Genomic DNA, 12,029 nt, shown 5'->3' on the forward strand with positions numbered 1-12,029 from the left:
GTGTCCATTTTGATTTTGTAACTCGGAGTATTAAACAATGTTTCCCCTTATTGAACTAAAATGGGCCCACTATAACTTCTTCCTACTGGTCCTAGTCTTTTATGCTATGCATAGCCATAATACAAATGCAATATCAATTGTACTTTTTTTGGAAATCAATAGGGCCCCAAAATTTAAGTAGTAGGATTATCTGAACATTCTAATTTGAAATCTTAATAGGCAAGGAAAATGGAAATGAGTTATTTTACTAGAACTACAGAAAGGCTAATATTCAGATAATTGTTCAAACTTCAAATGTTTGATTGCATTTTAAACTTTCTCTAATAAGATACTTTTTAGAAGGTGAAAAGATGTTAATATAGTTATCATCATTAAAATATTTAATGGACACATCTTGAGACAGGCACTTAGACGCTGGGCCCTTGTTCTCAGTGACCTTAAAAAATATCGTCAGAGCTATGACAGGAAAGAGCTAAAGGTTGTTTTCTATTTGAAGTCCATAATGTATTTTGGAGCAGAAATGTAAAATATGGGGGAATATCATCCTTTCTGAAGAAAATAAAAATGTGTTTCTGAAGCCTAAAGGAGTCAGTTAATGTAGATTTCTCACTGTTTTATTAAAATAAAGAAGGGGCCAATAAAACATATATATATCTTTAAATAATCAGAAGGCAAAAATCAAAATTATTTCAATTTTTTAAAATAAGAAGAGCACTTTAATTCACATACAAGTAACAGTTCCTCATTACCAAATAGCGTCCTTTCCTTAGACATATGGGCTTAGGGGAAAATGTTAAAAGGGCTGAGTGAAAACAGCAAGACAAAGACAGGTGCGTTCTACCTGAGTTGGAAGAAGGCTATACTTTGTATTAGGTTACAATTTTGCAAATGGTCTTTACAGAAAAATATCAGCAGATATTCTCTGGGAACCTGGACATTACTTTGAGTTAGAGTGAGGTCAGGCTTTTTGGCCCTACTCTATTGCCTAAGCCTTTTATAAATGGCTCTGATACAAGCTGTGGTAATCCTCTTTCTCCATGAGGAGTGGCTGCTTTTCTTCAGGAAGCTGCTTTCTCTTGTGACGACACAGCAAGCTCACAAGCCCTGCCAGCAGGGCAGTGAGGACGGCCCCTACCATGGCCGCCCCAAGGAGCCATGACCAGATCCGACTTGCTTGTTCCAAATAGGACTTAATGTAGTCTTGAAAAGAGTCTGGGTCTGAAATAAAAAGACATCCCATTGTTTTTATTGTTACCACCATTGTTACGATCACCATCATCTTCATCCTTTCGCAGTCCTTTGGAGTAGACGCCTGGGTTTGAAGACCAGCTCTACTACTTATTAGCTGTAAGAGCTTGGGAAAGTTATACCTAATACTCCAAAGCCTCAGTTTCTTCACCAGAAAAATAGGAAAATAATACCCCCCTTGTTGGAACGTTTGAATTTTATAGATAACATCCGTAAGTGATTCAGAGCCTGGTATATAGTGTGTACTCAATTAAATGTTAGCTGTGATTTTTCCATCTTTTTCTGTAAAAGGTTGTTGTAACTATTCCAATTATCAATAGAACACTGTTATATCATTAACCATTCACTAATCCAGTCTTTAATTATTTGACAAACATTAATAGTAATGTTGGCAAATGCTCAGTAATCTTAGAAGCCTCCCAAGAACCCCAGGGCATTTGAACAATCTCTGTATTCACAGAGGTCACAGTCTTAAATCTTGAAACAGATTTTGGCGCATGGGCGCCGTCCCTCTGTCCTAAGGCTTCAGGGGTGGGGGGCGCTCTTGGTTACCCGGCCGCAGTGGCATAGGAGCGGGCCCTGTGCCGCGGTACCCTGGAGCGCCCGCACTCTGGGCCTTTGTTTCTCCTCGGAGGTGCACTCCCTGCTGGAGGGCAGGGGCCTGGCCTTTATAGGCCTCAGGACACTGAAAGTAAAGCCTGGAGGGGCGGGGCTTAGGGGAGCCGATATATGTAAGAATAATAGCCCTTTAGGTCTGCCAAAATCAAACAACAACAATCAAAACAAACAAAAAAACCCCAAAAGCCTTAAATGAAACTACAGTGCAAAAAATAAACATAAATATTTTAAAAAGGGAGGGAAAAAAACAGAATGAAAAGGGTAAAAAAGTCGAAGAGGCAGAGCCTGAAGAATTTGTGGAAAAACTACTGGATCCAATTATAGCAAAAGGGAAGGTGGAGCATTTCCTGAAGTGGAAGAGACGTCAGATGTTGACAGTACTTGGGAACCCGCAGAAAATTTAGATTGTCCAGAGTTAATTGAAACATTCCTTAATTCTCAAAAAGCTGGTAAAAAAAGAAAAAAGTACAAAAAGAAAGAAAGTCTTTATCTGACAATGAATCTAATGACAGCAAATCAAAGAAGACAAGAGATGCTGCCGACAAACCAAGAGGCTTCACCAGAGATCTTGATCCTGAAAGAATAATTGGTGCCACAGGCAGCAGTGGAGAATGGATGTTTCTCCTGAAATGGGAATATTCACATCAGGCCGACTTGGTGCTGGCAAAAGAGGCAAATATGAAGTGTCTTGAAATTGTAATTTTTTTTACAAAGAGAGACTAAGTTGGCATTCTTGTCCAGATGATGAAGCTTAATTGTTTGCATTGTGATATCTATCTATCTATCTATCTATCTATCTATCTATCATCTATATCTGTATATATATATATATATATATCTGTATATATATATATATATATCTGTATATATATATATAAAATCTGGGTCTTGGCTTTTAATTAACTAGTGTGGGAAAATAACTACATTCTAATGAAAATCAGTTTTTATATGTTAATTTTAAAAGTAGTATTGGGAGAGTTGGGTTTTTTTGGTGTGTGTGGTTTTTTTTTCATCAATACCACTGGTTACTTTGAACAAATAAAAGCTTTCTGTAGTTGCTTCCTTTATCATAAAAGAACATTTGATATCTTGTTATTTTATGCATGTATTCATAAAATGATGTATTATTTCCTCTGCATTAGAGAACAGCACTTCTAAATGTCGGGGAAAATTTCCATAGTCATTACTCAATCAGAACTTGCGTTTAGCCTAAGGACCATTCTGGGTTGTGTGTGTGTGTGTGTATGCCTAAAATGTGTACTTAAATGGCTTTTTGTGTTGTTTTTAAACATTCACCAAACAAAAATCACGGGTAAGCCCATGTTTTTGAGATGCCATCATTCTGAGCAACCTAAGAAATAAATCACATCAAATTAAATTCAAAATTTTCCTGAAGCCATACATTTCAAATAAAACAGATGATTCTATAATTAGTTGGACAATTTAAATGAATCATTTAATAGTAGCCATATAAGAATCCCTATCTACACCTTTAGTCATATAAATGAACAGTTTGTTTGCAAAATTCCTAAAAGGAATAATTTTATTACTACCAACAACCTCCCCAACCAGATGAGGGAACTAGACAGATCCCGCTCTGTTTTAATTATCTAAACAAGACTTAATTTAATGGACATTTAAAGATTCCTCTACCAGGCCATTCCTTTACAAAAAGTTGAAATCCCTGTGCTATACTGACTAAAAGGTAATGATTCATGGGATGTCGAAGACTTGGCTTTAGGAACCCAATCAGATGGTTGGAGATTTGGCAGTTTAGAATCTGCTGCCATAAATAGATGAACAACTTTTGTAATGTATTGACTTGCATATTTTTTCTTTACCTTAACTAATTCCTTACATGTAGACTCAGTCCTTTCAATATTTGATTTGCTGGTTCAGCAGAAACCAGGAAAAACAATAACTTGGTAGTAATCAGAATGTTATCCAATTGTATGTTGATTCCTTTATTGTAAATAAAGGTGAATAGTGGTCAATCATTTTACATTGCTTTAAAAAGCAACAACAGATTTTGACCACATATATTTTAACAATAATTCTGAACAAGGAAAAGTCTTTAGCCTCCTGATTATTTATATTCCTTCAAACCACATAAGAACATGGCATTGGGGAGAGACAGCATCCAATATGTTACTGGCTTAGCATTTCCTCTATTATCGTACCCATCACATTATATTCCAGTTATCTATTACATGAATTTTTTTTCTATTAAAATGGCTCATTGAAGGCCAATAGTATATTGTCATCATTGATATAATTCTAGAATCTGGTATAGTGTCTGAAACACATATGAGAGAATGAACATGTTTACTGAATGACTGAATGTGTTATTGGACTCAGAAGATATGGTGAAGGAATGTCCCTGAATGGCAGCTGTGGAATGAGAAGGGGAGACGTACACAAAAGGATGTCACCCAGGGAAAAAATTTATAAATTACTCATATTTCACTATGTTATGAGGTAGTAGTTACAGTTCCTTTTAAAATTTGGTATAAACAGTGATGGGTGCTTTAAAATGAAAAAAAAAAAAAAGAGTCTTAATTCCAATAGAAAAGTAATGTAGGAAAACAAATGTAATCATAGCATGCTATTTGGTTGAACTGTAAATAATATTGTAGTAGTAAAAACAATAAAATTCCTAGATGTGGATTTGCCCCCAAATATGATAATACTATACTGAGAAGATGAATGAAAGAACAGGGAAGCTGTAAGAGAGTTAAAATCATTATTTAAATATGAGGAACTCCAAAGATAAACTTGATGAATTAACAGAGAGTAATATTTCCCTATCATTTAGAAATACAGGGCAATATAGCAGAATAAATAGCTAAAAGGGTTACAGTAGCTGATATAGGGGCATAAACCTTTTGTTATAAGACTTGCAGCATTCTTTGGCTTGTAAAATAACATGCATATAATATTTGATAAAGCAAAATTAATTAAGAGATATGCTTAAAAACTTATGTGTATGTGGAAAAAAGTATAAGAAAAAGTACAATGGAGACTAAAACAGCACAAGTGATCAATCTAACAATAAGATTACAGGTGATTTTTATTTTTGGTTTATTCTATTAATTTTCCAAAATAAAAAAAAAAGTCTTTTTACTGATACAATTAGAAAGCATGCTACTAAAAGTACCTGATGCAATTAATAGATGATATAACTATATATTTAGGAAATCCATAATCAGATAATGCTTAGTAAAAAAATAAAATACTGCTAGATAAGGATTACATAAATTAAACTTCCCTGTACATCAACAATTAACCTATTGTTTCTATTAAAATGGCTCCTTGAAGGCCAATAGTATGCTTACATCATTGATTTAATTCTAGAATCTGGTACAGTGTCTGAAACACATATGAGAGAATGAACATGTTTACTGAATGACTGAATGTGTTATTGGACCCAGAAGATATGTTGAAGGAATGTCCCTGAATGGCAGCTGTGGAAATGGGAAGATTTGTTTTAATGAAAAACAAATCTCATTCACACAATCAACTACATATTTAAGGCATGTAACAGTTAAGGAGAGATGTTTAAATTTTATGTAACTATAACTATAGAATCTATTTAGGAGACTATAAGATTTGAGTAAATGAGGAAGTCTGTACTGAGTATCTGTTCAGTAAGAGCAAATGGCTTCTTTCTAACAAAACAATTCCTTTATAGAAGATGCTCTCTATAATGTATATAGAAGATATGTATGTAGAACATACACAGAAGATACTATAAATTTACTTTTTGACATAGCATAAAGAAGAGAGTGCATCCTGGGCTTACCTCGCAGCAAGTCATGCCTATGTGACTCAAGTCTAGAGCAAAAATGTATGTATAACTTTGGGGGAAGTTCCCTTAAAAAGAAAAAAGTATATCTTTGACCATTTACCTTTTCCTTTCTGACTAGCTAGAATACAGACAGGTTGTTGGCGAGCCATCATGGACTATATAATCCAGGGTAAACCCTAGACCTTGAAAATTACTGTTTTTAATATATATTAAAATTATTTTGAAAATGGGACTATAATACTTAGCTTAAATTGCTGTTAGTGGCTTCAATACATAGTACATTTAAAATGTCCAAAAAAAGGCAGGATACATAGAGGCTACATAATAAATATTTTCTTTTTTGTTAAAGGCTCAGCTGAAGTGCTTTCACAGCTTCTAAATACTATTTCTATGTCGGTCCTGTTCTCCAGCTTCTCTTACTATTGCTCCACTTCAATTCATTCCAAGTGGTCTCAATTTTTACTGTCACCAAGGGACTGTCCTTGAGACATTTTTATTTCTCAACATTCTTAAAATTCAGACTTTCTTTCTAAGCCATCTGTGTTTGAGCCCCAATAGTGCACCTTTTTCTTCTGTTCCAATGTCGTAATTTTTTGGTCATCTTTCCCTATGTGAAGTCCTATTTTTCTTGTCATCCATTCTTTTCAGAATAATTATGTAGATTTTTGTTTTATGCTCTATCATTTCCAAAGCGCATTAACATGCCCATTTATTCACAAAACAAACACATGAAGTAGTTAGTGGCCATTACTCTAATGAATTAGGAGTCTGCCTGGAGTGATTAAACTAGACAATGTATGTATAGCCCTTGGTACAATGTCTACCATATAGAAAACAATTTACAACTGCTGTTGATTCTTATCATGATAGAATGATAGTTTCATCAATATTTCAACTAAATCAGCTTACAATATGAGTTTTTCTTTCCAAACTTGCTTCAGCTGCTGACTCCTCAGCTCCATTCTCTTCTGGATTCTCAAACTAGTTTCTTTGCTGCCTTGTGATATTTGGCACAAATGTCCATTTATTATAATTATATCTATTTATATATGTCTTATTTTTCAAGCTTGTCACAAACTCTCAAGAGCAAGTATTATGTCTTACTTGTTTTATCTTTCTTCAATTCATTTATTAAAATACCACATATTCATTGAGATACACTACCTGTCGGCAGGGAGTTGGGGGGCACTCTGTCTCATTTACCTTTTCACCCTCAGCACCTGGCAGGTAAACAACTCATTTCGAGAGTAATGTTGTTCTGATGAAGATACAAAGGGATCATGGAGAAAAGACTTCCTACATCTCTGTGAAGTTAGGGAAGGCACCCCAGAAGACTGTCCCACTGAGTAAAAGAATGAATTAGACTCTGAGCATATAATGTTGATGGCAATCCATCCTAGGCAGAAAGGAACAGCATGCACACAGGTATACACAGCCAAACAGAGCTATTGAACAAATTCATGAATGATAGAAGTGTCATCAAATTCCATTGGCAGAATGGGACACTGCAGTTACTCTGAACAGTGTTTCCCCTTCTCATTTTTGAAACCAAATTTCCAGGTCTTTTGTAACGTATGGGAAGAAGGAAGCTCTCAACAGAGTTTTTCTGCTATGTAGAAAGTAAGATTACATTTATCAACAACATTGAGGACACAATCCTTCTTTGCCAAAGATTTTTGGCCTCCCCTTGTAAATTAGTTATACATATGAGAAAATCACCTGCTACTCAATTTTCTAAAGAATCACTAAATTCAATTATAAGAGAAAAAGTTTGATAAATGGCAGACATCAGCTGCCTTTTTACAGAAACCACTTAATTAATTATAAACATGAGTACCTGGTTGATGAATAATAATCCCCTTGAACAAAATTATATCAAGAAATTTTAAATAAATTTTTAGTAAGCTTAAAATTCAGCTATGAATAGAGATAAATTTTAAACTCCTTGAAAGTACAACAGAAGCAACAATATGGAAAAATTCATAAAATAGAAAATAGGCAATTGGTGTTACTTAGTTTAGCTGTTTTGTTTTGCTTTGTTTTTAGAGATGAGTCTTGCTGTGTTGCCCAAACTGGCCTCACACTCCTGGGCTTAAGAGAACCTCCTGCCTCAGCTTCCTAAGTATCTGCTGTTGCTTATTTTAAAGTCAAACTTCTCTAAAATTAACTTTGTAAATTCAAAGCTGTGTGAAAATTACTCTAAAGCATTTCAAATAAATTGTTTCTTTAAATTTAATTGGAAATAAATACCTTCAAGCCTCTAATATGACTCATTGAGCCTCTTCTCCCCTGGCTCATCCAGGAAATTTTGTTGCCTTTGTAGTAAAAAGTATCCATTTGGACACTAGGGAAGGAACAAAGAGGTGGAGCATATGTGTAGAAGACAATATAGGGGTTAAAGGGAGCTCTCTTCTCTGTGCAGTGATGGAGTGATGAAGTTTGGATTCAATATTTGACACTTACTAGCTTTGTAGTTTAAAATTAATCACTTTATCTTCCTGAGTCTCAATTTACTTACCTGTAAAACAGAATAAAAATCACCCTTCCATGGGTTTTAAAAATTAGCCGAGTCAATAATTTATATGCTGATGTCTCTCACATTCGGATCTGATGGCCAGACACTGTTTTTGAGTTTCAGGCCTGTGTATCCAACTTCCCAAGAGAAATTTACCTTGCCGTCCCATATAACTTCATTTCACTGTATAACAAAACCATAAGCTTTCCTCCATGTCTTTCTTTGCTCCTCTTGTTATTATATGAGTGAATTATACTACCATTCATCAGTTTCACAGGCCAGAAAGCATAAAGCCATTCCTAATCTCCTTCATCTGGTATATAAATAATTTTCCAAGTTCTGTAAATTTTGCCTTCAAAATAATATCAAATTAATGATGCTTTCTATCTCCCTTCCTGCCACCACCACTGCAACTTAAACTGCCTTTACCTCTTCCTCAGACTCTTATAATAGCATTTTCACTGCCTTTCTGCATGTGCTTTCCAACTACTAAAATTTTTCTGCATACTGAAGCTGCAATAATCTTTTGAAAATTCAAATTTGATTATAACCTGCTTAAAATTTATCAGTGGCTAGCATTATTCTAACAATATGGCCCAAATTCATAACCATGTCCTCTTTTTCAACTAGTTAATTCTACCTGTCATATTGATGTCATCTGAAATATCACTTCATTGACCCCTGGATTTAGACATATCTCTACATAAATGAGTTTTTAAGCAAGCAGTTAAGATCTTTCTCTTCCATTATAAACTTTGTGAAGATAGAGACTATGTTGTTTACCATTGTATCCATAGTATCTAAGGCAATGTCTTATTCAAAGTACTTATTGAATAAATGTGTGTGTAAAGAATAAACGACTCAGTACAGACACATAAAAAAAAAAAAACACCTGGCATGATAGAATACTTATAGTGTTTTAAAATATATATCCAAAAGTGACCTGAGTATTAAGAGGTGTGGCATTTTTCTAGAAAACTTCATTTATATTAGTTAAGAGAAATGACACTTCATGATAAATATCACTTGCACTCAAATTGATTTATTGATTTCAGTCCATACCAGATACAATGTGATGCTTAGAATGGAGAAGCTTGCAAGATAAATTCTGATCTTGGGGGTTTGGGGAAGAATAAAACCCAGGACAGATTCATACATAGAAAGAAATGCTATGTAACTATGAGAAAGGCGTGAGTAAACATCACTATAAGTATAAAATGATTTTTATATCTGAGAGTTTGACAAATGGAGAAGTAGAGTCAGAATTCAGGCAGAAACAATAGCATATTTAAAAGCATGAACCCATGAAAGTCTAGCATGTTTTGGAAATGGAAACAGATACTAAATCATAGAATCCTAAATGGAACATCTTTGAAAAATAGTTACCAATAAGCTCCCTTTTTTATGTACTGTGGTTTTCATAGAAGAAAGAGAAGACATGTTACTTGAGACTTACAGGAAGCCCCTCCTCTTACCACACCTCCACCCTTTGCAAATTTCTCTGTTCCTAGTGATCTTAAGATTTTCCAAAAACTGATCTTCTTTGTCAGCTGTGTTAGCATTTTGTCCATTGTCTACAGTCTTCCGATAAAGCAGAAAAGTTCAATTAAACCCATATCTTTTCAATTAATCATCCCTCAAAGGGCAGAACAAGGTTGATAACCTATAGACTCTCCTGTTAACCCTAAATTGTGTATGTACTATACCATATACTAGGTAAGTGGCCTGGGAAAATCAATTTATACTCTTTATGACTCTGTTTCCTCATCTATGAAAAAGAAAAAGAAACAATGATACCTACTTCATAGAGTAATTATGAAGATTTAAGGAAGTAATGCATAGGGCACATTGAGAAGAGTTCCTGGCTAATAAAAAATACTTAGTATGTGTTAACTGTTATAAACTGGGTCAACTTATTTTCTTTGTGTCCTTTTCCACTGTTCATCCTACTCAAATAGAATAATTCAGCATTTCATAAATATGCTGTACATTTTCCACCTCTACTGTTCTTGCTATTCTCTTTGCCTAGCATATCCCCTGCCCTTTTCTATCTGCTACCTGCTTACTCATTCTCAAGGCCTCGTTTTCTCTTTTTAGGTTGAATCCTTCAAAAGTCATGGCTTTCTCTTTAGCACTGCTGTGGGATTTTCTTTATGACTCTTTTACTGCACATAACACAGCCTGATGTTTTTTACTTCCTTGCACAATTGTCTTACTTCCACACTGGAGCTTCTTCAGGTATGAAACTATGGCAGTCATGTATCACTGAATTCGAGCACAAGAGTGAGAGGGTTGAGTTTCATTCATTTGTTTATTTTATTTATTTATGTATTTATGTGTCATTATCAATGAATACAATGAAACATCAATGCTTGTTAAATACCTCCTACCCACAAGCCACACTGTTTTTGATAATTAACCCTCATGTGTTAGGTGAATTACAGTGTGGTGAGATGAGGAGGACCTCCTGGAATTGAAATCTTGCTTCTCCACATTATTGGTGTTTGATTTTGAGAAAGTCACTTAAATTCTCTGGGTATCAGTGTCCTCACCTTTATCTTGGAAGAATAAAACTTACCTCCTATATGGTTTATTAATAATACATGTAAAGAATATGCATGTAGTGGACTTTCAGGTAGAAGGAAACACTACTATCTGTTCCTCATTTTGTCAAGAAGATACTGACATGGTTCTATGCAGGAAGATTATTTAGAGCCCAAATCTAATTCTAATCCTGGGGTTTTATATTGCTATCTTCATCATAGAGCAATAAACATTATAATAGCTATTATTATTAACTACACTTAAGTTCAAGATTTCTACAAATTTTCTTGGTAACCCTAGCAAGAAACTTCCAAAAATGATTCCAAAACTGCTGGATGTTTACCCTGTGTTACACTGTACTAGGTTCATTAATGTATCATTCTCAATAATTCTTTAGGGTGTTCTGGTCCCAGGATTTCAGGTGAATAAACTGAGATTCAGGGATGCAGAGCAAATTTCCCCAGGTCACATTACAGTCAGTTGATAGAGTCATTTCTCAAAACCTTTTTTTTTTCTTCTTCTGATTCGACTGCTCTTCCCATGGTTGCCATGACTATGACTTTAAAGATCTTCAGAATTTGACTCCTGTGATAATGAATTGGTAATAAATTAAGGATTATAAGGTACTTTCAGGATTTAAAGGGTTCAGGAATAACATTGTCGAAGCATAAAGTTTTGTGTTATCTCTAAATAAATTGGTAACACTAGATTCAGCATTTCCTCGGAAAGAAAGTAAACTTTACCTGAATCTTGTAGATAGCTATAGTCATAGCCCAGATCTTTGGATGAAATAAAGAAATCACCGTTTCTGTACAGTGGTATAAAAGGAACCATGTAGGATTCCCGGTTATGTCCAATGGGTGCATTGGCTTCCGGATAAACTTCTTGAAGAAGACGGTGCCTTCGGAGCCACTGCTCAAAAATACTGCAGAGGAAAGGGTTATTCAGACTAAGAAACATATTGTGTATAAAAGAAACATTTGAAAATTTTTTAAATAAAATAAGGCATATATTAAAATCTGGAGACATGGAAAGATGTTGAATATATTCTTTATACTTCAAAAATATTTCATAAAGTATCAGTTTATTCTTTCAGGCCTTGAAGTTCACTCATTTAAAATAAATATTGAGGCAAGCTTTGAAAAAATAATTCTTAGCAGGTGAATAAAACTTACACATTGCGTTTTGAACCTTCAGAATGCTGCAAAATAAAGGTAACTATTGGTTGAGTGACAATTGAGTCATAGTTGTAAATTAAATGTATTCCCAAAGAAAGACCAGAGAAAGAACATATAA

The 12,029-nt window shown here is 34.5% G+C and overlaps 2 pseudogenes; one reads left to right on the forward strand and one right to left on the reverse strand.

The window, feature by feature from the left end:
• Positions 599–11,661, reverse strand: TYRL (tyrosinase like (pseudogene); annotated as a pseudogene).
• CBX3P8 (CBX3 pseudogene 8) lies at positions 2,105–2,800 on the forward strand (annotated as a pseudogene).

The sequence above is a fragment of the Homo sapiens genome, chromosome 11 (assembly GCF_000001405.40).
Source record: "Homo sapiens chromosome 11, GRCh38.p14 Primary Assembly".
Taxonomy (NCBI): Eukaryota; Metazoa; Chordata; class Mammalia; order Primates; family Hominidae; genus Homo; species Homo sapiens.